Source organism: Homo sapiens, chromosome 2 (assembly GCF_000001405.40).
Source record: "Homo sapiens chromosome 2, GRCh38.p14 Primary Assembly".
In the NCBI taxonomy this organism is placed as follows: Eukaryota; Metazoa; Chordata; class Mammalia; order Primates; family Hominidae; genus Homo; species Homo sapiens.
Window position 1 is genome coordinate 3,567,500 of NC_000002.12, and position 27,935 is coordinate 3,595,434.

A 27,935-nucleotide genomic window follows, 5' to 3' on the forward strand; every position below is an offset into this window, starting at 1 on the left:
ATTTTCACCCAGTCCTCTCCTGCTCACCGCCTCTCTCTGAGCTGGGACGTTCACATGCATCGACTTCGGATTCCAGCTCTAGGTTTGCTGGTTGTGTGCATCTGCTGCATTGCTCCAATTCTGTTCTCTCCTGTGAAAAATGGAGATAACTGGCCAGGTGCAGTGGCTCACACCTGTCATCCCAGCACTTTGGGAGGCCAAGGCAGACAGATCATCTGAGGGCAGGAGTTCGAGACCAGTCTGGCCAACATGGTGAAACCCTGTGTCTACTAAAAATATAAAAATTATCCGGGCATATAGAGGATGAAAAGAACCAGTGTTCTTTTCATCCTGTACATATTTTGTGACAATTAATGGTAAGAATAGTGTTTCTTTTGATGAGATCTATCAAAGGTAAGCAAATTATCAATTTATGATAAAAATCGAGTGCAAATATTTCTATATTTTAAATATTAATATATGAGCAATTACTTTCCATATACCCACAGGTCGCCCATGTCTAGAGACGGTTTACTGCCATACAGGAAAAGTGGCCTTGACTTTACAGAGCAGGCCTGTGACCTTGCTTCAGTTAAGCGTGTGCTAACCCAGGAGTTCACTCTCATTACAGCCTGGCATATTCATCTCACTTGCACTGGTCCACGGACGATGATAATAATAAAGGCTCTGCCAGCTGTAAGTGGAGGGGAGAGAAAGGACCTTCTGTTAAATGCAATCCATTAATTCTTGATCGAGCAGACAGGTCCATAACTTCATCTCACATGCAAGGACTCATTAGTAACTTTCCTTCTGTCACTCCGTTATTAACATTAAGATTCGGAGGGGAAGAATGACTTTGAAGCCTGTGGCCTCCTCACCTATCTGACCTCTAGGCTTTCTGCAGCACAGAGATTATACATTCCAGGCACAGGATCCTACATAATAGAGAAGAAATTATATATAAAATATATATATTTTTAATAAAGAAAAGAATATATATATATTTTTTTCTTTAAATGTTTTTATTTATTTATTTATTTTTTTATTGATCATTCTTGGGTGTTTCTCGCAGAGGGGGATTTGGCAGGGTCACAGGACAATAGTGGAGGGAAGGTCAGCAGACAAACAAGTGAACAAGGGTCTCTGGTTTTCCTAGGCAGAGGGCCCTGCGGCCTTCCCCAGTGTTTGTGTCCCTGGGTACTTGAGATTAGGGAGTGGTGATGACCCTTAACGAGCCTGCTGCCTTCAAGCATCTGTTTAACAAAGCACATCTTGCACCGCCCTTAATCCATTTAACCCTGAGTGGACACAGCACATGTTTCAGGGAGCACAGGGTTGGGGGTAAGGTCACAGATCAACAGGATCCCAAGGCAGAAGAATTTTTCTTAGTACAGAACAAAATGAAAAGTCTCCCATGTCTACTTCTTTCTACACAGACATGGCAACCATCCGATTTCTCAATCTTTTCCCCACATTTCCCCCCTTTCTATTCCACAAAACCGCCATTGTCATCATGGCCCGTTCTCAATGAGCTGTTGGGTACACCTCCCAGACGGGGTGGTGGCCGGCCAGAGGGGCTCCTCACTTCCCAGTAGGGGCGGCCGGGCAGAGGCGCCCCTCACCTCCCAGAAGGGGCGGCTGGCCGGGCGGGGGGCTGACCCCCCACCTCCCTCCCTGACGGGGCGGCTGGCCGGGCGGAGACGCTCCTCACTTCCCAGACTGGGTGGCTGCCGGACGGAGGGGCTCCTCACTTCTCAGACGGGGCGGTTGCCAGGCAGAGGGTCTCCTCACTTCTCAGACGGGGCGGCCGGGCAGAGACGCTCCTCACCTCCCAGACGGGGTCGCGGCCGGGCAGAGGCGCTCCTCACATCCCAGATGGGGCGGCGGGGCAGAGGTGCTCCCCACATCTCAGACGATGGGCGGCTGGGCAGAGACGCTCCTCACTTCCTAGATGGGCTGGATGGCGGGGAAGAGGCGCTCCTCACTTCCTAGATGGGATGGTGGCCGGGCAGAGATGCTCCTCACTTTCCAGACTGGGCAGCCAGGCAGAGGGGCTCCTCACATCGCAGACGATGGGCGGCCAAGCAGAGACGCTCCTCACTTCCCAGACGGGGTGGTGGCCGGGCAGAGGCTGCAATCTCGGCTCTTTGGGAGGCCAAGGCAGGCGGCTGGGAGGTGGTTGTAGCGAGCCGAGATCACGCCACTGCACTCCAGCCTGGGCACCATTGAGCACTGAGTGAACGAGACTCCGTCTGCAATCCCGGCACCTCGGGAGGCCGAGGCTGGCGGATCACTCGCGGCTAGGAGCTGGAGACCAGCCCGGCCAACAGAGCGAAACCCCGTCTCCACCAAAAAAATACAAAAACCAGTCAGGCGTGGCGGTGCGTGCCTGCAATCGCAGGCGCTCGGCAGGCTGAGGCAGGAGAATCAGGCAGGGGGGTTGCAGTGAGCCGAGATGGCAGCAGTACAGTCCAGCTTCGGCTAGGCATCAGAGGGAGACCATGGAAAGAGAGGGAGAGGGAGACCGTGGGGAGAGGGAGAGGGAGAGGGAGAGGGAGAGGGCAAGAATATATATTTTAACAGGTAAACAGATCTTGGCTTTTTAACTGCCACCCTCCAAACCCCCAGCAGTATTCTGTCCTGGGCCAACTATCCAGGGTCTTGTGGTCCCTCCAGGATGACACGGTATTGGAGGTACTGTGATGAGTTTCCTTGGCACTGGAAGGAATCTTTCTTCCTTAATGCTACATCTATTAATTCCTCTTTGTGGCTATCTGGTTTGTTGCTACTCGAAGTGTGGTCCCTGGACCAGTATCATCAGCATTGCCTGTGAGCTAATTAGAAATGCAACATATTGGAGCTGCTGTGGACTGAATGTGTGTGTCCCCCCAAAGTGCACATGTTAAATCCTAACCCCCAAAGTGATGGTCTTTGGGTGGTGATGAGGTCGTGAGAGTGGAGTCCCACGATGGCATGAGTGCCCTTATGAAGGAGGCCCCTGGAGAGCTCCCTCAGCCCTTCTGCAAGGACACAGTGAGAAGAGGCTGTGAACAAGGAAACAGTTCCTCTTCAGACACGGCATTTTCTGCCACCTTGATCTTGGGCTTCCAGTCTCCAGAGAGTGAGAAATGAGCATCTGTTGTCCGTAAGCCACTCTGTCTGTGGCACTCTGTATAGCGGCCCAGATGGACTGAGACAGCGCCCACCTCCACCAAGTCCACAACTGCGGAATCAGCGTCTGCGTCCCACTGCGATCCCTGGGTGACCCGCTGTTTGTACACTGAAGTTGGAGACACACTGATTCTTAGAGAACATTTAACTAATGGATTTAATCCTCTCATTAATGGAAGACTAAGTTGAGGATCTGAAAGGTTAGATGATTGATCCAATTATACTTATGCTTGTTCTATAAAAATAATATTCAGAGACAGCAGGACCTTAAGAATCATTTGTTTGGAAAAATGACCTCTAATTACAAAAATCTGTGGTGGGTGGTGGAGAAGACCAAATCTCAATAGAAAAATGGTTAAATATCTATAGTCCCAGCTACTCGGGAGGCTGAGGTGGGAGGATCGATTGAGCCTAGGAGGTTGAGGCTGCAGCGAGGTACGAATGCGCCACTGAATTCCAGCCTGGGTGACAGTGAGAGACTGTCTCAAAAAAAGAAAAAGAAAAAAGAGGGCAACCCATTTCTCCAGGACTCCTGTCTGCAGCAGAGAGCTCTTCTCTTTCTTTTGCCTATTAAAATTCTGCTCTCAACCTAAAAAAAAAAAAAAGAAAAAGAAAAGAAAAAAGAAAAATGGTTAAAATATGAGCAGAAAACAATCACACAAAAACGTATAAAACGCTTTAAAATGGTCCTTGAACGTATGAAACCCATGGAAGGATGCCAACTTCACTCTGAATTAGAGAATGCAAATTAAATTACATTGCGGTCTCATTTTTCACCTGTCAGATAGAAACAAATTAAAAAGTATGATGACACATTCTGTTGGGAATGCTGTGGGAAAACAAGAATTCCCATATGACGCACAGCGCTTTTCTAAGGGAAGGTGGCAATGCGTAACAAAATTACTTATGCCTTTACCTTTTGAGGCTGAGATCCCACTTCTAGAAATTTATCCCAAAGGGGCTGCTCCAAAAGCATCCTAACGCATATGCCTAAGTTTATTTGTGGGGCATTGTTTAAAATTTCAAAATGTTGAGTATGACTCGGATGCAGTCCAAGTGTCTCCACAGAACACGGGCTGGGTGAAAGTGGTCTGACAGCCCAGCGGAGAGCGACGCCGTGGTGAAAAAGCATGAGGGAGGTCTCCTGAACTGACATGGAGGGATTTCCAGGAAATATGTTTAGGCGAACACAAAATGCAAAAATCAAATCCTGCTTTTGTGTAAGAATGAAGGAGAGGTAAGAAAATATACATTCAAGCAAAAAGAAACCCAGGAAGCATGAACCAGAAAGCAAGGTTGGGTGCAGGAGGGAAGGCAGGGGCCGGTGGAGTGTGGCCTTCTCAAGGGAGTGACCTCCTTAGATGGCTTTGACTTTCAGAAGCAGAGTGTTTCACATATTCAAAAGTCAACAAGGGCTGAGCATGGTGGCTCACACCTGTAATCCCAGCACTTCGGGATGCCAGGGTGGGCAGATCACATGAGGTCAGGAGTTCATGTCACCCAGGTTCAAGCGATTCTCCTGCCTCAGCTTCCCGAGTAGCTGGGATTACAGGCGGGTGGCACCACACCTGGCTAATTTTTGTATTTTTAGTAGAGACAGGGTTTCCCTGTGTTGGCCAGGCTTATCTCCTGACCTCAAGTGATCCACTCACCCTGGGTGGATTATCCCAAAGTGCTGGGATTACAGGTGTGAGCCACTGCGGCCCACCTGCATTGTTATTTTGAATGTATTTTCTCATAGTGTCAGATAAAGCAAGTAATTGTATTTTTGTGTTTAGGAAGCAAGGTTTTTATTACAGGAGAAAAGGAGATGCTATGATAGAATCGAGGATTTCAGAAGGAATTGTTCTGTTAGAAGTGGATTGAGAATGTCAATGTGAACTTGTATCTTTTATGAAAAAATTATTTTAAATGCCATCTTTCTAAGTTCTGTCCGCTGAAACGGCTTATGAGGAGCCCCACGATGCCTCCTGCTGCCAAAATTCTGGTCTCCAGTACTATTTTTCCAGAAAAACAAAAACAAAAGTATCAGCACTTCTAGGAGAAAAGGCTCATTCTATGTCTCAGGCAGAAAATTACAAGAGGAGCCTGGAATATCTTGTGCCAGAAAACAAGATGTTCAGACATTCATAGAAATGACAAGACTCGGCTGCTTATCTAAGAGGGGCCCCTCCTGGTCACAACTGAGACAATTTGAGGATCAAAGGAGAATATTGGCTGAGACTGATTGATGTACAGCAAATCTGAAATGTCCCATGTCCATAATGATACATAAAAGAGTTAACAAAGTGTTCTAAAAGTAAGTGGATTGCATAGATGATATTTCTGTTCATTGTCAATCATGTTGGTATTATCGACTCACTTATTGTATGGTTAAATAATAAAGAAGCTAGTACTAGTAAAACCAGGAAAACAATCTAATGTAATGATTAGTAGGCATTTCCTAACATAAAATTAGTAGAATGACCCTCTAAGTTGTGATTATGATCCTGAAACTACCTATTAAAAATACATGTGCAACCTCTATCAACTTCTATCAGGTTCTAGGTTTTAAAAATCACATTTCTTAGGATCTCATGAGGCTCAAAGCTAAAGAGTTAGAAAGGAAAAGCATTTATGTATATTAACAGCACATTAACAGCTAAAAAGAAAAACTCACATAATCATATTAGTTCATAGAAACAATGCATTTGACATACTCCAACATCCATTCATGATTTTATTTTATTTTTTATTTATATATTTTTTTTGAGATGGAGTCTCGCTGTCACCCAGGCTGGAGTGCAATGGCTCGATCTCGGCTCACTGCAGGCTCCGCCCCCGGCGGTTCACGCCATTCTCCTGCCTCAGCCTCCCGAGTAGCTGGGACTACAGGCGCCCGCCACCTCGCCCAGCTAATTTTTTGTATTTTTAGTAGAGACGGGGTTTCACCGTGTTAGCCAGGATGGTCTCGATCTCCTGACCTCGTGATCCACCCGCCTCGGCCTCCCAAAGTGCTGGGATTACAGGCGTGAGCCACCGTGCCCGGCCCATGATTTTAAAAAAACCTCTCAGAAATAGAAACAGAGGGAACTTCCTGAATTTGATTAAAAATACCTGCAAAATCCTAGAGCTAATATTATACTTAATGGTGAAAGACTGAATGGTTTTCCCCTAAGATGGAGAACAAGGCACGGATGTCCTTGCTCACCACTCCTATTCAACAAAGGACTGGAAACCAGAAATAACTTTAATTTTTTTTGTTCTCAAGTGATAGGTTCACAGAGAAAAAGCTTTACTGGATGAACTTTTAGATTACTACTTTTATAGAGCAGCAGAGATAAAAGCCAGGTCGAAAAGTGCATGTGGAGTAAGGAAATGGACCTAGTTCGACAAAAGGGCTCAGAACGACTGCCCAGATGAGATTGTAGACGCAGCTGTAGTTTACTTTCTATCTGGAAGAAACTTCAAGTTATCCTTAATTTTCCAAGGAGACAGTCACTTACCTTTTAAAAAACATTATTAGAGAAGCACCGGGCGGGAGCATATCTAGCATTAAAAATGTGGGATGAATACCATCTCTGCTTGGTAAAGGTGGTTGGGAATCCTGAGAGAGGGCACCTAGTGTGGCTTCTGCATTTTTCACAGTGCCTGGACCACGGCTGAAAGTAACTCTTGCATGACATTTGACAGAAGAGGAAACCGAAGCTCAGATTAAATTCCCTGTCCACAGCGGGATCATTCGGCACGAGTTCCTCCCTGTCTGGAATGCTCTTCCCCAGCAATAGATCCTGCGGCTCTTCCGTGTCTCAGTCTAATGTCATTCCGTTCCAGGATTCCCGACTTCTTAAAGCATAAATAATCCCTCCCCACCCTCTCATTGTACTGTTATGTAAGTTATTACAATATGTCATTATATATTTAGTCATACTGCTTTAGGTAATGTCTTCTCCACTGAACTGTAAGCTCCATGAGGGCAAGAGTTCAGTCGGTTTTACTTAATAATTAGCACCTAGTACAGTACTAGCATAGAATGAAGGCCTCGCAATTTTTTTTAAATTTATTTTTAGACAGGGTCTTGCGCTGTCGCCCAGGCTGGAGTGCAGTGGTGCAACCTCGGCTCACGGCAGCCTCGACCTTTCGGCTCCAGCGATCCTCCCGCGTCGGCCTCCGGGGTAGCTGGGACTGCAGGCGCGCACCACCATGACTGGCTAATTTTTTTTTTTTTTTTTTTGTAGACATGGGGTCTCGCCATGTTGCCCAGGCTGGTTCCTGAGCTCAAGTGATCCTCCTGCCTCGGCCTCCCAAAGTGCTGGGATTACAGGCGTGAGCCTCAGCGCCCAGCCAAGTTAGCCTTTTTTAAACGTCCTGTCTCCGGAGGTTGCCGAAGTTGGTTTTCTTCGGCCTCCTTCTCTCTCCCAGGCCCAGGGCTGGGACGAGGCCGGTTCCCGCCTGCAACCTGCACTGAAGACGGGAACCTTGGGAGCCGGTACCGGAACGCTCGGAAACGGCACCAAAGTACGAATCCTAGGGCGGAAAAGCGTTACCAAGACACTCGTCCCCAGAGCCGCTTCCTGGGACTCTCTAGCCTCCTACCGCTTCTCAGTGATGTTCCGGTTTCCGCCCTCCTCCTCGCGCTGTTTCCGCCTCTTGCCTTCGGACGCCGGATTTTGACGTGCTCTCGCGAGATTTGGGTCTCTTCCTAAGCCGGCGCTCGGCAAGGTAGGTTGGCGGCCTGCTCTCCGACAGAACTTTTCTTCTTGGGTTGAGGAAAACGCCTTTTGGAGTCAGGCCCTGGAGGGGCGAGCCTTGCTCACAGGGTGGGGATACAGCCGATTACCCGCCCTGTGCTTTCCGATGGCTTCTGCGGGGCGAGCGGGGCCTGGCCGGGGGGTGCGGGCGGGAGGGCGAGCCAGCGGCGCCTGCAGCCCGGGCCGCGTAACGCTGACCGCTGTGCCTTCAGTTCTCCCAGGAGAAAGCCATGTTCAGTTCGAGCGCCAAGATCGTGAAGCCCAATGGCGAGAAGCCGGACGAGTTCGAGTCCGGCATCTCCCAGGTGAGAGGGTTTCCCTGGGGTCTGGGGTGGGGGGAGGCGCCCCGCCCGGGAGGGGAGGCGGCCGCGCGTGTGTTGGGCCCGGGGTGCTCGGACGCGCGCTCAGGGTCGGTCCTGCTGTTCGTTGCTTCTTAGGCTCTTCTGGAGCTGGAGATGAACTCGGACCTCAAGGCTCAGCTCAGGGAGCTGAATATTACGGCAGCTAAGGTAAGCTGGCGCTCCCTCGGCTGGGAGGGAGGTTGCGGCGCGTCTCCCCGCGCAGTGCCTGAGAGGGTTGGACCTGGGTTACGGTTGATGATGACTTGCCGCCTGGCCGCCTAACCTGAACTCAGGTTCGGCCGTGTTGTTTGGGAGTGATACCGCCCAGGTGCGGGGAGTGGGGTTGCAGGTACCCTGCGGCTTAAGCTGTCCACATGCGGGCGGTGGAGAAACGTGGAGTAGGGAGGGCCTGGGCCCATTTCGGACCTTATTTGCCCTTACTTAGTTATAGATACGGCAAAGAGCTGTGGGGAGCTCAGGATGAGATTCTCTCTACCCTTAGCCCGGAGTTGCCGCAAGTGGGGGTGCAGAAGTGGTAGTGATTGGCCTCCTGGCCTGAACAGTCTCCCTTCCTGGAATAAGGAAATGTGAAGGTTGGAGAGAGATGAGAACATTTCCGAAGGATGCATTTATGATTAACTCAAAACTAGTATTAGTTTGTAGTGCAGCTACGGTGTTAGTGATAAGGTCTTCTTATCCTCTAATTTGACCACAACGTTTACTTTCTGAAGCAGTTAACACAGTGGATTTTTGTTTTTTTCTTTAGGAAATTGAAGTTGGTGGTGGTCGGAAAGCTATCATAATCTTTGTTCCCGTTCCTCAACTGAAATCTTTCCAGAAAATCCAAGTCCGGCTAGTACGCGAATTGGAGAAAAAGTTCAGTGGGAAGCATGTCGTCTTTATCGCTCAGGTATCTGTTCTACTGTTGCAGCACGTTTCTGTTTGTGAATTTTGCTAAAATTGCTTGTATTTAGACTGCATTGGTAGTTGGAGTCATGAAAACAATCCTTTTATGAATCCAATTGGGTAGAAAGATAAAGTACAGGCAGAGCGCCGTGGCTTAGGCCTGTAATCCCAGCACGGGGAGGTGGAGGCGGGTGGATCACTGTAGAGACCAGCCTGGGCAACATGGTAAGACCCTGTCTACAAAAAATAGAAAAAATAAGTTTTAAAAAGAAAGATAAAGTACGTTCTTTAATTAAGAGTCGAAACAAGAAGTCTGTAAAGTGACAGACTGCTGTGTTTTGAGTTATGAAAATGATTTCCCATATTTAAATTTCCACAAGTCTAGTGGGTTGCTTACATAGATGATCAAACTAAGAAACCTGTTACAGGCCGGGCCCTGTGGCTCACTCCTGTAATCCCAGCACTTTGGGAGGCTGAGGCAGGCGGATCACGAGGTCAGGAGATCGAGACCATCCTGGCTGACACGGTGAAACCCCGTCTGTACTAAAAAATACAAAAAATTAGCTGGGCGTGGTGGTGGGCGCCTGTAGTCCCAGCTACTCGGGAGGCTGAGGCAGGAGAATCGCGTGAACCCGGGAGGTGGAGCTTGCAGTGAGCCGAGATCCCGCCACTGAACTTCAGCCTGGGCGACAGAGCGAGACTCCATCTCAAAAAAAGAAGAAACCTGTTACAGTTCGGATGGGGGATTGGTGCAAACTGAAGTCTATGGGGAATGAAGTGCCAGGATTGATCTGGAATAAAAGTAGTATTCTGGGTCATAGGCATGGGGAAAGGCGTATCTGGGAGATTTTGTCCACTGGCGTATTAGTAGAGGCTGTGGATTCTGAATGATTTATTCAAGAATCAGGAAGTAACTCCATAGAAGGGTTTGCTCAGTCAATTGTTCGTCTAAGTTGTTTAGCCTTCTCGAACTTTGAACTTACCCTGCCATTCTTCTTGCTTTTAAAGCAGTATGGCAGTTACAGCTTTTTGTCAATTTAAAGTCTTTTTTCATTTTGTTACATGATAATTTTTACCTTACAGAGGAGAATTCTGCCTAAGCCAACTCGAAAAAGCCGTACAAAAAATAAGCAAAAGCGTCCCAGGAGGTGAGTATTTTAGTAGTTTCAGAAATGTGTGTACCCCTCTTATTAACAACTCTTAATTTGTTTAAGTTGTAGTTTATGAAAACAGATGTTCAAGTGGGAATTTTTGAGTAGCAGCATTTGGTTTCCTGTATAGTTGCACATGATACGTTTTAGAATTCTAGATGTAAAACATACATGTATTCATGTAGCCATTGTTTGCCTACTAGGTCAGTGCTGTCACAAGATGAGATGATTTCCTCCGATTATTTGTGCACAGGATAGGAATGATGAGAAGGAAATCATTACTTTAATTCTGTGATATAGCATGCTAGACACAGTTGACATGGGCTTGGATTTATCTTTGATTTTTATTTTTGCTGTGGATTGGAGGTAAAAAAATGTAGGTGGATTTTGGTGATAACATCACAGGTTAAAATATCACTGCAGTTGAAGATGCTGATGGAAAATGATTTATGAACTTGATTGACTTACAGGTTATCTGGCATAAACTCAAATATTGGTAGTTGTCTTCTTGAACTAGATCTTTTGGTATTTTGTTAGTCTCTGATTAGTATGTTGTTTTACAAATGTGAACTATTAAATCCCTGTGGACTCTTCCCTAAGGATGAGTTGAAGAAAAAAAAAATCCTAGTGTTGCCTGTGCCCTCTAACATGTTTAATTTGTATTGTTACTCTCAGTGGATGAGGAAACTGATCCAAGGCTGGGATAATTTGCTGATTGCAGCTAGTACTAGTAGTGCTAAGAATGTTTTTTTTTTAACTCGGTCTTGTTCTGAAAACCACTAGAACACAGTGTTGGGAGTCTGGTAATGTGTTATTGTGTCGAGCTGTGGTATGTGGAAAGGTAGGTGCCAGCTTTTCTAGAACTTGAATTCTATGGCTTAGTACTTTGAAAAACTTTTAAAGGCAGAGTGGCATAAGAATTTAGGATTTTTTTCCCCTAAATCATGACACTTAAAGAGGGTTTTGGAAACTCAGTTCTGAGAACCTCAGTTAGGAAATGAGTATAAGAACAGTCCCAGAGGACTGTCCCTCAAATCCATAGCTTTAGTTTCCCTCAGTACAAACCTCTGTTTTCCAAATTTTCTCAGACAATGGCTTCAGTGTTTCTAGTGGGACCTAGTCTGTACATTGAAAGCCTTCACACTAAGCCTAGCTGGTAGGTCATAGTGATTCTACCACTTTTCCAATCCGGCTTCCTGCTTTCAGATTTATTTTCCCTATTCAGTAGAGCTATCTTTATCTAACTCAGGTTAAATGCTGAAATTGATAGTTTTTGGGTATAGCAGGGTTTTTCCTCTAAAGCGCTCCAGTCCCTGTGGTTTGTGATGATTGAGTTATGGTGCCATTGCTCCCCATTTTAAAAGATTGTAGATGACATTGGAATCTAATTTCCGTATTTGGGTGCTTTCCTAGTATTGTAAGAATATGCTTAATTAATGAGTCGCAATGAATAATCCGTTTGTCTTGATTTGCTTTCTGAAAGGTGATGAGGGTTTTGGGAAATGGACTTTGTTCAGGCTTTTGCCCTTTGTGGCTGTGACATATTAAGATGTTGGCAGTAAAATTGAGAGCCACCAGAAGATGTTAACTGTGTATATGGGCGCTGCCAGATAGGAAATCCAAATGAGTAGACTATAGTGTTATTGTTAGCTACTATGGGGTGAGACGTAGACAGATAACCATATGTAAGGCAGCTCCCTAAATGCTGAAACAAAGAACCGTCTCTTGACTTACTCCTGATGTCTCATGGTACATGGTAGCTGCCCCAAAAGCTTGCAATTAATTGAAACTTCTCATTTGTTAGGTGGCAGGTAGGTAGGTTTTGAACTTGGTAGTGATATTCAGACGAGGAGCAAGATTCCACTGGCAGTTCTGTGATGCTAAGTAAATGATGTGATCATATCCGTGCTTTAGAAAGATTATCTTGACATTGGAAGGGGGTGGTTTTGGAGATGAGCAAGAGTGTTAAAGGTTATTGTAGTGATTTAGTTGAGAAATAATACAAGTGAAAATAAAGATGTATAAAAGTCCTCTAATCTCACATTCCCTAGAGATGGTCACTCATTGCCTTGGTGAGTTTGTAGTTTATCCCAGAGTAACATTTAAAATTGACTGAGCTTTTGAAATAAATCAGTAAGCTATTACCCTATTCTAGGTAGGCAAAGGCTTTAGTTTGGTACGTGAAATATAACAAGCTTATTTGAAAATGAGTGTTAATTTGACTTCAGGAACCTGGGATTTGCATTTTCATTTTGACTTAAAGAGGTGCCCTCTGGAGTTGCCCAGAGGGCAGGCGTTGCTAGGTTGCTTACCTTTTAAACTATTCTTTTAGCCGTACTCTGACAGCTGTGCACGATGCCATCCTTGAGGACTTGGTCTTCCCAAGCGAAATTGTGGGCAAGAGAATCCGCGTCAAACTAGATGGCAGCCGGCTCATAAAGGTTCATTTGGACAAAGCACAGCAGAACAATGTGGAACACAAGGTAATAGGTCAACATTTTATCATGGAAAGGTTCAGCCACAGTGAGAGTGGATTTTAGTGTAACCAGTCTCCATGCGCCACCATAGCAATGACTGTAGTAAACTCAGGACTAGTTCTTTTACCCGCACTTCAGCCTGCTCTCCTTTGGATTATGTGTCAGGTGTTAAATGGAGATGTTTCAAGAATTGAACACTTGAAATTCTCTGTACCTTTTGGAAGTAGACTCTTTCTGTGGTCTTTTAGTTAGGCTGTATATTCTTGGTGAGTTAGGGGTGGGTGGTGATGGGATCAGTGTCTTGGGGGGACATAACCATGTGGGTGACTGCTGGGGTCCCCTGATGGCTTCCCCGGTGCAGTGGTGTACAGTTCTGTCCCACAGCATTGGAGAAGAGCTTGTCCCCGGTCGTGAAGACTGCTGCAGACATGTTGTGTGTACTTAGTTGCTGAGGAGAAAAACAATACAGGGCACAATTTCACGAAACTATTAGGTTTTAAGCTGAGTGTGTATTTCAAAGTTCTGTGATGAATTCTTTCTTTTCTTGTAGGTTGAAACTTTTTCTGGTGTCTATAAGAAGCTCACGGGCAAGGATGTTAATTTTGAATTCCCAGAGTTTCAATTGTAAACAAAAATGACTAAATAAAAAGTATATATTCACAGTACTCTGTTTCAGTTATGTTTTTCAAAATTCCAAATTCACGGATGCGCAGCTGTCTTCATTATCAGTGGCGTCCTGTGTGGGCCAGAGGATTTCAGTAGGAGGGGTGTCTGTGCCAGAAAGCTTGATGCCTGTGAGGTTCTGCTTGTATTCAGGGGTACAAGTGTCATCACGTGATGCTGCAGAAATGGCTGAATATTGGCACTTTTGCATGGTTCAAACTAAAAATATAGCAGGTACTTTTTTTATTGTGCTATACGTAAAATTTACCATATTACCCATTTGTAACTTTACAGCTCAGTAGCCTTAAGTGTATCTACAAAGTTGGGAAAGGGAACTCTGAACTTTTTTATTCATCTTGTAGAACTCAAATTACCCATGAAACCAGCACCTCCACTTCTCATTCTGTCAGATTTGTTGAATTTTTTATACATAAACTCATGTTAGGTGTTAAACGGACTTTCACAAGTTAAATGTCAGAGTCTGATTAAGATTTTAGTAGATGCTAAGTGGTGTGTAAACTTGGGTATTCCAATTCCTCACTTCCTTAGTTTTCCACTTCATCAAACGAAGGCTCTGGGTGAAATGAAAGCCTGAAGTGAGGACCCTGGTGTGGTGTCAGGTGACTGGAGTTGGACCAGGTCTTTGTAGGGTGGAGCAGATGTCTTCTTAGAGAATTATTTCCTCAGTTTTGGCTTTGTGCCAGATTGCTTTCAGGTATTGATAAGCCTTAAAATGACCTGTAAAATTTACCTTCCTGCTTCTATAGGGTGAAGAGACAATCTTACTGAACAACCCCCCAAATAACATGTTTTACAACAAATTATTCCCACAGATAGACTCATTCCAGGAAGCCTCTGAGGCGACACAATAGTATTTTCCCATTTTGCAGGTGAGGGTCAGGCCTCTTAGGAGTAGAACTACTGTCAGGCTCCTGAGGCTGTTGTCCAGGCAGAATTCACATGGCGGTGCAGGCACACGGGATGTTTTCAAAGCTTTGGCAAGCGCTCTTGATGGTACTTGGCTGAGGCCTTTGTGGATGAGTGGGTAGTGAGGAAGATTCCCGTTAAGCAGTCAGTTACCAAGGCTGGCCCTTTATCCTCAGTAGTCCGTAGGTCCCTAACCCATTTCCGCTGTCTTCACCCTGTCCCTGTCGGGGTCGCCCTGGTTTCTCTGGAATGAGGTATTTACTTAGGCCCAGGGTGCTGCAAACCTATTCTCACCCTTCTCCAGCACGAAGCACCCTTCTCCCCCCACCCCCCATTTCCTGGCGACCTGTTTAGTGGCTTTTTGGGAGGCTTCATCTGTGTCATCTCAAACATTTAGTGTATTGGAATTCACAGATTCACTGGTTTGGGAAACAAGATTTACACAGGCTGTCCTAGAATGTTATGCATTTTCCTTTTAAAAAAATGTTCCAGGCGGGGCATGGTGGCTCACTCAGGTCTGTAATCCCAGCACTTGGGGAGGCTGAGGTGGGCGGATCACCTGAGGTCAGGAGTTCGAGACCAGCCTGGCCAACATGGTAAAACCCCGTCTCTACTAAAAATACAAAAATTAGCCAGGCGTGGTGGTGGGTGCCTGTAATCCCAGCTACTCAGGAGGCTGAGGAGGAGAATTGCTTGAGCCCAGGAGGTGGAGTTTGCAGTGAGCCAAGATGTCACCATTGCACTCCAGCCTGGGCAATAAGAGCGAGACTCCGTATCAAAAAAAAAAAAAAGTTCTGAATTTCTTGATTTTCCTACGATGCCAGTGGCTATCAGTAGCATACCTAGAAGACATTAAAGAACCCATCTCCAGGAAAAGAAGAAACTTTAACATGTGAGAAAACAATTGTTTTTTGAAATTAGTGTAAGGAATGAGCTTACTTTAGGATGTCCATTGGGATATGCTTCCATTTTAGGTGAAAGCTACATTGACCTGTAAGGTATCAATAACATAAAAACTCGGAAATAGAATATTCTTACCTATTTAAGATGCTTGTGAAGAGTCTCAGTTGGCTTTGAATCTATTTGTTAATCCCTTCTAATTACTTGGCAAGAACAAAAGATGACCAGAATACCAAGAAAGATGGAAAATTTTGGTTGATTTTTCAACAAAAACTTCACATTTGCTAGATGGGAAGCATAGCCAAAGATATGCTTCTGTCCGCATCTATCTTTGTAAGGGGTCTTTAAAAAAAAAACCCTCATAGTGGAAGTTTTCTGTCATACTCAAAAGTATAACAGAATCAGTAGTGGGCCTCTGTCCCATCACCCAGCTTGAGCTAGTACTGACACGTTGCTAATCTTGTTTCATCTATTCTCACCCTTTTTTCGCTGGAGATTTTTGAAGCAAATTCTAAACATATCATTTAGGAATCTTTTAGCTGTGATAATTATTAAAATCAAGTGCCAAACTTAAAACTAGATTTTAAATTGTTATATCAAAGTATAACAATCATTGCTTTCTCTAAAATTAATACCTTGGTGAACAAAAAGACTTAGATATCATTACTGTGGTTACTCATTTAAACCTTCTGTGTTTTTATAACGTACATACCCTATTAGTACCGTGGTGCGTTCTGTATTAACTACGCATTGGAGGTACTCAAAAGTTTCACTTGGAGTGCACAATGGAAGAGTTTGGGGCCTAGCGTGCTAAGCACGCACAATTTTCATCGGTAAACTTTGTCAAGAAAACTTAAGTTATCTTTTTTTGTCAAGAAAGCTTAAATATATCAAATATTTTTGAAAGGTAAATATAAACTTTTTCATGATTTTGTTGAACAAAGATTAGATAGTAAACCTTCAGGCATGAATGTATGCATTTGCTATGGGAAGTAATAGTGGTTTTAAAAAATCCTTTTCCCTTCTAGGTACATTAGTGCAGCCTTTTCTCCGTGATTCATACAACACAATAAAGGAACTAGTGAAGGTATACAAAGTCACACAGTTCTTTAGTACAGCATCTTGAATGTTTTCAGGCACTGAGATGATACTAGACCTGTAAAGCAGGTATTAGACTTGATATTTATTAAAACTTATAACAGGACAATGCAAACACAGCCTAGTGAAAGAGACATTTCAATGACTGGAGATGGGCCTGGTTCCTAAGATTCCTGTTATTGCTAGATGAGCTGTTGGAAATGCTTTAACTCCATCGAATTTTCTCACTATAATCAATAGCAGCAACAGTGGGTGAGTGACTGTAATGAAGTTTAGTCTGAATGCCTCTAGCAATCACATTTTACTCAAAATGCTATACAGATAACATCAGGGCCGTGCTCTGTAATAACACACTTAATGAGGCCACCATTAAAGTCAGCGTGCTGTTAATTATCTGGATCTAAAATGGCCTAAGCTTCCTCTTGAAAGTAGAGCAAATCACTCCTTACTTAGCTTTTAAATCATTATCTGACAGAACTCCCTTAGCATTCTGCCAGTTTTATTCCCGACTGTGATCTCTGGCATGCTGCAAGCTTGTGATAGTACCTGACCGTTTCACTCAGGGACCCTGAAAGCAGCGCTGACCACATCTTAACCTGACATGGCTAAATCTTCGCCTAAAGCTCTTGGGGAGTTTGATGTGGTGGGTGGGGAGTCCCTCCCTGTGTTTGGTGGCCTGAAGATGAGCTGCATCATTCCTTCGTGGACCTCAGGTTTCCCACTGGGAAATGAAAGAGCGTGGGCTAGCTGAGTCTGAGGGTCCCTCTAATTCTAAAAGCCACTGACTTTAAGTACTACAAGTTTAAAGTATCAGTAAATACAGACAAGTTCTCAGAGTATTTGGCACTTAGTAAAGATGAATGAATGTGTTTTCCTGTCCTTGAAAACCAAACCAGTTACAGATTTTATCTTTTTAAGACAAGAGTCTTGCACTGTCACCCAGGCTGGAATGCAGAGGTGTGATCATGGCTCAGTGCAGCCTCAAACTCCCCAGCTCAAGCGATCCTCCCGCGTCAGCCTCCTGAGTAGCTGGTACTACAGGTGCACACCCAGCTAATTAAAAAAAAAAAATTTTTTTTTGTAAAGATGGGGGTCTTGCTAGGTTACCCAGGCTGATTTTGAACTCCTGGGTTCAAGTGAGCCTCCCTTCTTGGCCTCCCAAGGTGCTGGAATTACAGGCATGAGCCAGCATGCCTGGCCTGGGGTTAACTTGATTTTCAGTTTTAAGGCCTGTGCTGGAGCAGGAGTGTCTAGTGTGGCAGACAGTTGGGGGTGAGTAGGATGGTGTTTGGGGACACCAGAACAGCTCCTATGTCTTCACTGAGTGTCGGTCCATGTGGGTCAGGCACCAGGGTAGACTCTTGAAGGATTAGCTCAAATCCTTCCAAGGACCCTGGGAGGTAGGCAGTGGTTTCCAATGCTTGGAAAGTTTTAAAAACGAGAACACTGAGGTCCCACCGGCAGCATATCTCATCGGCAGCTTTAGGGTGGGGCCCAGCCATGTGTTTTAAGAAGTTTTCCAGTCGATTCTGATGCAAGCTCAAGTTTGAGGACCTCTGATAGTTGACTCCCTAATAGTCTCTGATGAGACAGTGGTGGGGCCCCGCCCTCATGCGCCCAGGCAGGGAGGCTGTGCTCCAGATCTCATGCCTGTGCTCCAGATCTCATGCCTGTGCTCCGGATCTCATGCCTGTGCTCCGGATCTCATGCCTGTGCTCCGGATCTCATGCCTGTGCTCCGGATCTCATGCCTGTGCTCCTGGACAGCTGTGCGCTGCCGGACTGGCACGGTCAGAGGGAAGCGCCGGGGAGAAGATGGAGGCCCAGCCCCACACTGCTGAGGCAGGAGGCCAGAGGGCTCCACTCTGTCCGGGAACTTAAGGACGGGGAGAGGTGGCTGCCGTTAATGTCCTCATGGACAATGTCCCAGAGATTTGGCAGCATGCACTGTGTGATCCCAGTGAGAATTCCCATCCGGAGACAAGCGGGGTTTTCATCCGGCTCCTGCTGTCCAGATTTCTGAGTTATCTCTGAGAAATGTAAATACGATTTGGGATTTGCGCCAGAGTCTTTTCCTGGCCCCCTGGCGTGGACTCGTTCCATGAGAGGGTCAGGGTTCACGAGGCAAAAGGCTGTTCCCAGCAGCCACGACTTCAACACTTTCAAGAAAAAGCTGCGGGGAGGAGAGGAAAAAGGAGGAGGGGGAAGGCCTCCTGGCCCTTCTGTTCCCAGTGCAGGTGTGAACACGGTTTATAGTCTAACTGTGCTTCCAATACAGTGTACTCGAAATAGGAAGTTGAATGATCACTTATTTATATAACTGAGAGTAATTATCGGCTTATTGGCATTTTTTTTTTTTTTTAATTTTTAAAAAGCCCTTAACGTTTCAGGAACACAAAAACAAACGGAAAACACCCACATCAGCTGTGAAACAGACGCTGGGCGCTTGGGTCTTGGGGGGTCCTGTGGGCCTTGCTGGCTTGCTTGGTGACAAGTGCAGCTTTAGTGTGACGGGCCCAGACTCCGACTGGCACGTTCTTTGTGAACTGTGATCTTGGGCAAGGTCTCTCATTCTTGAACTCTGAAACAGGGGCGACAACTCCTCCTTGCTATGAGGGTAGCTGTGAGGCCTCCATGAGCGAGCGGTCGTGAATGATCCTAGCTGGCACCGGGTTCTACACACGTTCCGTTCTCTTCACCCCAGTTTGCGTCCTCCACGGGCAGAGGGGATGGCTGCCCAAAGGACATGATGTGATGGGCCTGGCCTGGGCACACTGTGCTCCACACCCCACTTCAGACAATAGAGGCAGATTCACCATGAGGCCAATAAAGATCCGGCTGGAGAGGCCTTAGCATTGAGTTCTGTGGTCATATATTTGTATAAAATTAGCACAAATAAAATATTAAGCACAATGGGCCGGGTGCGGTGGCTCACGCCTGTAATCCCAGCACTTTGGGAGGCCGAGGCGGGCGGATCACGAGGTCAGGAGATCGAGACCATCCTGGCTAACACGGTGAAACCCCGTCTCTACTAAAAATACAAAAAATTAGCTGGGCGTGGTGGCGGGCGCCTGTAGTCCCAGCTGCTTGGGAGGCTGAGGCAGGAGAATGACGTGAACCCAGGAGGTGGAGCTTGCAGTGAGCCGAGATCGCGCCACTGCACTCCAGCCTGGGCGACAGAGCCAGACTCTGTCTCAAAAAAAAAAAAAAAAAAAGCACAATGAGTGAAGACCGCTGTCTGGTTCCTCTGTCACAGCCTCCTGCTGAGTGGTGCCGATGCGGCCCAGGCATCTTTGCATCCTGCTGAGGGTTTCCCCACCTTGGCACTGTTAGCTTTTAGGGCTGGAGAGCTCTGTGCTGTGGGGCCATCCCATGCATTGTAGAATGTTTAGCAGCCTCCCTGTCCTCTCCCACTAGAAGCCAGTACCATGTCCCCAGTTGTGACAACTAAAAATGTCTCCTGCACATTGTCAAATGTCCCTGAGCCCGAGGGGTGGGGAGAACAAACTGACGTTGAGTTGGGGTTATATTATTTTGGATTTCAGCTGGATATGCTGGGTGGTTCATGGTGCAGGAGGAGGTCATGAGCTACAAATTGGTCAGTGGTGTGGTCATTTCAAAGACTAGGATTACTCTGAACAAAACAAACCAAAACCCAATCGTTGAGATGCCTGAAATCAAACACCTAGTATATGAAAGAAAACTGATAGAGGTTTCCCCAGACTTGACAGCTATCCAAAAACTGTTCATGGCGTCACTGATAAAGGCTTGTGGAGCTGAAGTAAACTGTTTTGAAGCTACCAATAAGAAGATATTTAAATAACCATGCAAGAAAGAGCAAATACTGAGTCATCTTCTGTTCTCTTTGTAGAAATTTGTGTTCACGGGAGCAGGCAATGAAAGAATATACAGCCAAATAATATAAAAACGTAAGGGCTGGGCTGGGTGCGATGGTTCACATCTGTACTCCCAGCACTTTGGGAGGCCGAGGTGGGTGGATCATGAAGTCAGAAGAGCGAGACCATCCTGGCTAACACGGTGAAACCCCGTCTCTACTAAAATACATAAAATTAGCCGGGTGTGGTGGCGGGCGCCTGTAGTCCCAGCTACTCAGGAGGCTGAGGCAGAAGAATCGCTTGAACTGAGGAGGTGGAGCTTGCAGTGAGCTGAGATCACCCCACTGCACTCCAGCCTGGGCAACGGAACGAGACTCCATCTCAAAAAAAAAAAAAAAAACCCCAAAAAACCCCCCCAAAAACATAAACAAAAACATAAGGGCTGTCAGGCAGCTTTTTAAAAACTAAACTTTTATTAATATCTAGAGATAATTATAGGTTCACATGCAGTTGTAAGAGAGGCTGTGTACTTAATATCCCCAAGGGCAGCACCTTGTGAAACTGCAGGACAGTCTCCCAGCCAGATACAGGGACGTGCCTCGCTGCAGTCACCACGGGGACCCCGCACGGCACCCTCCTACAGCACCCCCTTCCCTCTGCCCCGCTTCCTCCTGGATCCCTGGCAACCGTGAGTCTCTTCTCAGTTTCTGTAGTTTGGCCATCTCAGGAGTGTTGTATAAAGACAATCATACAGTAAGGAGCATTTTGGGGCTGGTATTTTTCAGTGAGTAGAGTCCCTAGTTCCTACAAGGTGCTGCGTGGGTCTATGGTGGGTTCCTCTTTGTGACAGGGCCGCGTTCCATGGCGGGCATGTGCCACAGTCTGTTTAACCATTCACCTGTTGAAGGATGTCCAGGCTGATTATCCTGTTTTGGGATATTATAGGTAAAGCTGCTGTAAACCTTGGTGTACAGCAAGCTTGTCCAACCCACAGCCCTGGGGCTGCATGTGGCCCAGGATGGCTTGAACGTGGCCCTACACAAATTCGTAAGCTTTCTTAAAACATCGTGAGATTTTTTTTTTTTTTTGCTCACCAACTATTGTTAGTGTATTTTATGTGTGGCCCAAGGCAATTCTTCTTCCAATGTGGCCCAGGGAAGCCAAAAGACTGGACGGCCCCGGTGCGTGTGAACACAGCTTTCCACTTCTCTGGAATAATTCCTAGAGTGCAGCTGCTGGGTGGTAGTGTGGTTGTACGTTTAGTTTTTTGAGGCACTCTCGGACTTTTCCAGCGTGGCTGCACCATTTCTTTTTTCTTTCATTTTTTTTTTTTTTGTGACGGAGTCTCACTCTGTTGTCCAGGCTGGAGTGCAGTGGTGTGATCTTGGCTCACTGCAACCTCCGCCTCCTGGGCTCAAGCGATTCTCCTGCCTCAGCCTCTGGAGTAGCTGGGACTACAGGCATGCGCCACCACAACTGGCTAATTTTTTATTTTTAGTAGCGATGGGGCTTCACCATGTTGGCCAGGATGGCCTCGATCTCTTGACCTCGTGATCCGCCCGCCTCAGCCTCCCAGAGTGCTGGGACCACGGGCCTGAGCCACCACACCCAGCTGGCTGCACCATTTCACATTGCCCCCTGTTTCCCCTCATGCCAGCATTTGGTGTTGGGATTTTGTTTTAGCCACCTTGATAGACAAGTCGTGATAGTTCACTGTGGGTTTTGTTTGCATTTCTCTAATGGCTAATGGCGTTGAACATCTTTTCATGTGCTTATTTGCCGACTGTATATCCTCTTTAGTGAAATGTCTCTTCATGTTTTTGCCCATTTGCTACTTGGGCAGTTTGTTATTTTCCTGTTAAGTTCGGAGAGTTCTTTCTATATTCCCGACACTCTCCTTTGCTGGATTTGTGGCTGACAGATGCTTCCTCCCATCCTGTAGCTTGTCTTTGCATTTTCTTCACGGGGTCTTCTGCAGAGCAAAAGGTTTTAATTTTGGTGAAGTTCCATTGATCAGTTATTGCTCTTATAGATTGTACTTTGATGTTAGAATATCAAAGAATGATTTGCCTAGCCTTAGATCCTGAAGATTTTTCTTCCATTTTTTCTAAAAGTTTTGTAAGTTTACATTTTACATTGAAGCCCATGATCTATTTTGAGATAGTTTTTGTATGAGGTGTGGGGCTTATATTGGGGTTCATCTTTTTTGCCTATGGACGTCCTGTTGCTCCACACCGTTCATGGCACATGCTGTCTTCCCTCCACTGAATCGCTTTTGTACTTTTGTGAGAAAGCAGTTGAGTGTATCGGTGTAGATCTAGTTTCGGGTTCTCTGTTCTGTTCCATTGTATAATGTCTTAGAATTGGGTAGATTGATTCCTCCTATTTTATTCTTTTTTTTTTTTCTTTTTTTTTTTTTTTCTTTTTTTTTTTTATTTTTTATTTTTTATTTTTATTTTTTATTGATCATTCTTGGGTGTTTCTCGCAGAGGGGGATTTGGCAGGGTCATAGGACAATAGTGGAGGGAAGGTCAGCAGATAAACAAGTGAACAAAGGTCTCTGGTTTTCCTAGGCAGAGGACCCTGCGGCCTTCCGCAGTGTTTGTGTCCCTGGGTACTTAAGATTAGGGAGTGGTGATGACTCTTAACGAGCATGCTGCCTTCAAGCAGGGCAGAGGGGTTCCTCACTTCCCAGTAGGGGCGGCCGGGCAGAGGCGCCCCTCACCTCCCGGACGGGGCGGCTGGCCAGGCGGGGGGCTGATCCCCCCACCTCCCTCCCGGACGGGGCGGCTGGTCGGGCGGGGGGCTGACCCCCCCCACCTCCCTCCCGGACGGGGCGGCTGGCCGGGCGGGGGGCTGACCCCCCCACCTCCCTCCCGGACGGGGCGGCTGGCCGGGCAGAGGGGCTCCTCACTTCCCAGTAGGGGCGGCCGGGCAGAGGCGCCCCTCACCTCCCGGACGGGGCGGCTGGCCAGGCGGGGGGCTGACCCCCCCCACCTCCCTCCCGGACGGGGCGGCTGGCCAGGTGGGGGGCTGACCCCCCACCTCCCTCCCGGATGGGGCGGCTGGCCAGGCGGGGGGCTGACCCCCCCACCTCCCTCCCGGACGGGGCGGCTGGCCGAGCGGGGGGCTGATCCCCCCACCTCCCTCCCGGACTGGGCGGCTGGCCGGGCGGGGGGCTGACCCCCCCACCTCCCTCCCGGACGGGGCGGCTGGCCGGGCGGGGGGCTGATCCCCCCACCTCCCTCCCGGACTGGGCGGCTGGCCGGGCGGGGGGCTGACCCCCCCACCTCCCTCCCGGACGGGGCGGCTGGCTGGGCAGAGGGGTCCTCACTTCCCAGTAGGGGCGGCGGGGCAGAGGCGCCCCTCACCTCCCGGACGGGGCGGCCGGCCGGGCGGGGGGCTGACCCCCCCACCTCCCTCCCGGACGGGGCGGCTGGCCGGGCAGGGGGCTGACCCCCCCTCCCCCCTCCCGGACGGGGCGGCTGGCCGGGCAGAGGGGCTCCTCACTTCCCAGTAGGGGCGGCCGGGCAGAGGCGCCCCTCACCTCCCGGACTGGGCGGCTGGCCGGGCGGGGGGCTGACCCCCCCACCTCCCTCCTGGACGGGGCGACTGGCCAGGCAGAGGGGCTCCTCACTTCCCAGTAGGGGCGGCCGGGCAGAGGAGCCCCTCACCTCCCGGATGGGGCGGCTGGCCGGGCGGGGGGCTGACCCCCCCCACCTCCCTCCCGGACGGGGTGGCTGCCGGGCGGAGACGCTCCTCACTTCCCAGACGGGGTGGCTGCCGGACGGAGGGGCTCCTCACTTCTCAGACGGGGCGGTTGCCAGGCAGAGGGTTTCCTCACTTCTCAGACGGGGCGGCCGGGCAGAGACGCTCCTCACCTCCCAGATAGGGTTGCGGCCAGCAGAGGCGCTCCTCACATCCCAGACAGGGCGGCGGGGCAGAGGTGCTCCCCACATCTCAGACGATGGGCGGCCGGGCAGAGACGCTCCTCACTTCCTAGATGGGAAGGCGGCGGGGAAGAGGCGCTCCTCGCTTCCTAGATGGGATGGCGGCCGGGCAGAGACGCTCCTCACTTTCCAGACTGGGCAGCCAGGCAGAGAGGCTCCTCATATCCCAGACGATGGGTGGCCAAGCAGAGACGCTCCTCACTTCCCAGACGGGGTGGCGGCTGGGCAGAGGCTGCAATCTCGGCACTTTGGGGGGCCAAGGCAGGCGGCTGGGAGGTGGAGGCTGTAGCGAGCCGAGATCACGCCACTGCACTCCAGCCTGGGCACCACTGAGCACTGAGTGAACGAGACTCCGTCCGCAATCCCGGCACCCCGGGAGGCCGAGGCTGGCGGATCACTCGCGGCTAGGAGCTGGAGACCAGCCCGGCCAACACAGCAAAACCCCGTCTCCACCAAAAAAAAAAACGAAAACCAGTGAGGCGTGGCGGCGTGCGCCTGCAATCGCAGGCACTCAGCAGGCTGAGGCAGGAGAATCAGGCAGGGAGGCTGCAGTGAGCCGAGATGGCAGCAGCACCGTCCAGCCTTGGCTCGGCATCAGAGGGAGACCGTGGAAGGAGACCATGGAGGGAGACGGAGACGGGGACGGGGACGGGGACGGGGACGGGGACGGGGACGGGGACGGAGACGGAGACGGAGACGGAGACGGAGAGCTGATTCCTCCTATTTTATTCTTTTTCAAAATTGTTTTAGCTATTCTAGTTCCTTTCTCTTTTCATATACACTTTAGAATAGCCGTGTCTATATCTACAAAAATTATTGTTATGATTTTGATAGAAATTGTGTTAAGCTTGTACTGTATATTAACTTGGGGGAGAATCAACATTTTTACTCTGTTGAGTCTCCCAATCTATACTTTTTAATTTTCATTTTATTATTTTTGAAACAGGGTCCCACTCTGTCACCCAGGCTGGGGTGCAGTGGTGCGATCTCAGCTAACTGCAACATCCACCTCCCGGGCTCAAGTGATCCTTCCACCTCAGCCTCCTGAGTAGCTGGGACCATTCTACTATGCCCGGCTAATTTTTGTATTGTTTTTGTTAGAGACAGGGTTTCACCATGTTGCCCAAGCTGGTCTTGAACTCTTGGACTCAAGTGATCCTCCCACTTCAGCCCTGCAAAATGCTGGGATTACAGGCATGAGCCACTGTGCTTGGGGTGAGTCTCCTAATCTATGAAGACGACGTGTTTCTCTGTTTATTCAGATCTTTTTTGAGGTTTTCAGCAGCATTTTGTAGTTTTCAGCATGTAAGTTCTATATATGTTTTGTTAGATTTACACCTAAGTATTCCTTTTTTAAAGCAATTGTAAATGATATTATTTTGAATTTTGGTGTCTATGAGTTCATTGTTATTTTATAGAAATCTGCTTGGTTTTTCATTGTTTATTATTTTTTTGAGACAGAGTCTCGCTCTGTCACCCAGGCTGGAGTGCAATGGCACAACCTCAACTCACTGCACCCTCTGCCTCCCGGAGTCAAGTGATTCTCCTGCGTCAGCCTCCCGAGTAGCTGGGATTGCAGGCATGTACCACCATGCCTGGCTGATTTTTGTATTTTTAGTAGAGATGGGGTTTTGCCTTGTTGGCCAGGCTGGTCTCTAACTCCTGACCTCAGGTGATCCTCCCACCTTGGCCTCCCGAAGTGCTGGGATTACAGGTGTGAGCCACCACGCCTGGCCTACTTGGTTTTTTAAATGTTTGCCTTGTATCCTGTCACCTGTCACACTGATTTAATAGTTTCCAGGAGCTCTTTTGTAGACTCTGGGATTTTCTAAGTAGACAACCATGTCATCTGCAACAAGGGACAGAGTTATTTTATTTTTCGAATCTACATGCTGTTTATTTCCTTTTCGGGCCCTGCTGGTGTGCCTAGAACTTTAGCACTGCATTGAGTAAGAGGTAAGAGTGGACACCCTTGCCTTGTCTTGATCTCAGGAAGGAAACATTCCATTTTTGCCCATGAAGTATGATGTTAGCTGTGGCTTTGCCTTTGACAGATGCTCTTTATCAAGTTGAGGAAGGTCCCCTGCACCTATTTTTCTGAGAGTTTTTATCATGAAAGGTGTTGGTTTATGCCAAATGCTGTTTCTATATAAATTGAGATATTCATTTGATTTTCTTTGTTAGCTTGTTAATGGGTTTTTATCAAAGGAGCTTTGAATATTGACATAGCCTCACATTCCTGGATGAAACCCCATTTGGTCATAGTTGATAAATCTTTTTCTATATTGCTGAATTCTGTCTGTTAATATTTTATTAAGGATTTTCTCATCTATATTCATGAGGGTTATTGGTCTATAGTGTTTTTGTTCTGTCTTTGTCTGGTTTTGGTATCAGGGTAATAATCAACTTTATAAAATGAATTGGTAAATATTCCCTCCTCTTCTATTTTCTGGAAGAGGATGTGTAGAATTGGTGTTAATTTTTCTTTAAACGTTTTGTAGACCCTCCTGTGAAACCATCTGGCCCTGAAATGTCTTTCTGGGGAGCGTTTAAATTGCAAGTTCAATTCCCTTCCTTGGCATAGGGCTGTTGAATTATCTGTTTCATGCTGGGCATGTTGTAGTTCGTGTTTTCAAGAAGTGGTTCATTTTGTCTAAGTTGTCAAATTTATGTATAACTTCAATAATACGTTTTAAATAAAGAATCCATTATTTTTCCTTAATTTTATTATGTGTGTGGAATTTGTGTTTTTACAGTTTTATTTTATGATTTCTCAGTCTAAATAAATATTCACCTTTGAACCTAGCTTCTTATGATTGTAATTTTATATGTATCTTTTTCTTAAAGAAGGTTCCGCTATCCCCCAAAACATGCAAGATTCGGGCTGCATAGAAGCTGGATCTGTCCAGCCCCTGACTAACATTTGTTTCTGGCATTAAATGAAACTTGCCTTTAAATGAAACTTAAATGCGTAGAGTGAGTTTCCGGACTCACGTGTGGCCAGGTCTCCACAGGCCGTGGTCAAGCTCTTGCTGACTTTTGAAGCGAAATCCCATATGAACAAAGGAAAGGAGATCAGTCAGCTGCCCTCGTTTCTGTCTGATTGGTGCCAGGTGATGAGCGTCCCTCCTCTTTATGCTCTTTTGAATTTCCACAGTAGTCATGCTTATTTTTTCAAAAAACGAAAAGAAAGAAGAGAAAGCCAAAAAAGAAACAAAATTGGGATGTTCGGGTTGGAGAGTTAGCAGGGGCATCTCCAGGAGGGTCCTGCCCCCCACCCCAAAGCCGGCCTCAGGGAGTTCCAGGCGTTCCCACACTCCCCAGGCAGGACGGTGGACGCAGCGCAGACAGGAAGCTCCCCGAGATAACGCTGCGGCCGGGCGGCCTGATTTGCTGGGCTGTCTGATGGCCCGGGCCGAGGCTTCTCCCTGCGCCTGGGACTGCGGCCGCCTCTCTAAATAGCAGCCATGAGGCGCCTGGGGGCAGTGTCCTCGCGGGCCAGCGACGGGCAGGACGCCCCGTTCGCCTAGCGCGTGCTCAGGTAGGAGACTCTGCCCGGGGCTGCAGCTGAGGGTTTCACGGGGCTATGACAGTGCAGAGGGGAGGCAGGCAGGCTTCCAAACTGGGCGCGAGGTGGGCTCCTGCTGAGCGAGGAGGATGGGAATCTGTCCCTAGATCCAGGCAAAAGATTGAGTCTCAATAAATCTGGCACCAGAGTTCCAAAGTTTGATTAGTTCATGGCGGAAATTCGTGGAGCCTATTGATGAGATGGGATCCGACCCATGAGAGGTGCTGGATGATGGAGTC

At 47.6% G+C, this 27,935-nt stretch overlaps 2 protein-coding genes and 1 long non-coding RNA gene across 8 annotated transcripts in view, besides 6 other annotated features; 2 read left to right on the forward strand and 1 right to left on the reverse strand.

Moving 5' to 3' along the window:
• Positions 786–1,391: an enhancer, noted in NCBI's record as "NANOG-H3K27ac hESC enhancer chr2:3615875-3616480 (GRCh37/hg19 assembly coordinates)". NCBI's record gives its function as "activates a minimal SCP1, AML or CMV promoter by ChIP-STARR-seq in naive H9 embryonic stem cells {active_cell/tissue: H9 hESC(naive)}" and the evidence as "EXISTENCE:reporter gene assay evidence [ECO:0000049][PMID:30033119]".
• On the reverse strand, positions 983–7,610 carry LOC124907726 (uncharacterized). The gene is made up of 2 exons (XR_007086196.1): positions 6,636–7,610; positions 983–3,739 (listed from the first exon to the last, which is right to left on the reverse strand). It is a non-coding gene; the product is annotated as an uncharacterized LOC124907726 (long non-coding RNA).
• Positions 1,392–1,998: an enhancer, noted in NCBI's record as "NANOG-H3K27ac hESC enhancer chr2:3616481-3617087 (GRCh37/hg19 assembly coordinates)". NCBI's record gives its function as "activates a minimal SCP1, AML or CMV promoter by ChIP-STARR-seq in primed H9 embryonic stem cells {active_cell/tissue: H9 hESC(primed)}" and the evidence as "EXISTENCE:reporter gene assay evidence [ECO:0000049][PMID:30033119]".
• Positions 1,999–2,604: an enhancer, noted in NCBI's record as "H3K27ac hESC enhancer chr2:3617088-3617693 (GRCh37/hg19 assembly coordinates)". NCBI's record gives its function as "activates a minimal SCP1, AML or CMV promoter by ChIP-STARR-seq in primed H9 embryonic stem cells {active_cell/tissue: H9 hESC(primed)}" and the evidence as "EXISTENCE:reporter gene assay evidence [ECO:0000049][PMID:30033119]".
• Positions 7,314–7,889: an enhancer, noted in NCBI's record as "H3K27ac-H3K4me1 hESC enhancer chr2:3622403-3622978 (GRCh37/hg19 assembly coordinates)". NCBI's record gives its function as "activates a minimal SCP1, AML or CMV promoter by ChIP-STARR-seq in naive and primed H9 embryonic stem cells {active_cell/tissue: H9 hESC(naive and primed)}" and the evidence as "EXISTENCE:reporter gene assay evidence [ECO:0000049][PMID:30033119]".
• Positions 7,761–13,421, forward strand: RPS7 (ribosomal protein S7). The gene is made up of 7 exons (NM_001011.4): positions 7,761–7,851; positions 8,093–8,185; positions 8,318–8,389; positions 8,988–9,131; positions 10,211–10,275; positions 12,611–12,761; positions 13,306–13,421. Exons 2-7 carry the CDS (start codon positions 8,111–8,113, stop codon positions 13,381–13,383), a joined length of 585 nt encoding a protein of 194 aa, NP_001002.1. The 5' UTR covers positions 7,761–7,851; positions 8,093–8,110; the 3' UTR covers positions 13,384–13,421.
• Positions 7,890–8,466: an enhancer, noted in NCBI's record as "H3K27ac hESC enhancer chr2:3622979-3623555 (GRCh37/hg19 assembly coordinates)". NCBI's record gives its function as "activates a minimal SCP1, AML or CMV promoter by ChIP-STARR-seq in naive H9 embryonic stem cells {active_cell/tissue: H9 hESC(naive)}" and the evidence as "EXISTENCE:reporter gene assay evidence [ECO:0000049][PMID:30033119]".
• Positions 8,018–8,307: a silencer, noted in NCBI's record as "silent region_11116". NCBI's record gives its function as "represses an Ori minimal core promoter by ATAC-STARR-seq in GM12878 lymphoblastoid cells {active_cell/tissue: GM12878}" and the evidence as "EXISTENCE:reporter gene assay evidence [ECO:0000049][PMID:35858748]".
• COLEC11 (collectin subfamily member 11) overlaps positions 27,613–27,935 on the forward strand; it is a 49,533-nt gene continuing 49,210 nt past the window's right edge. For all 6 annotated transcript variants that reach the window (NR_045659.2, NM_199235.3, NM_024027.5 and 3 more), the window contains exon 1: positions 27,613–27,669. The gene's annotated coding sequence lies outside the window, so the exon portion shown is untranslated. The remainder of the gene's footprint in view (positions 27,670–27,935) is intronic.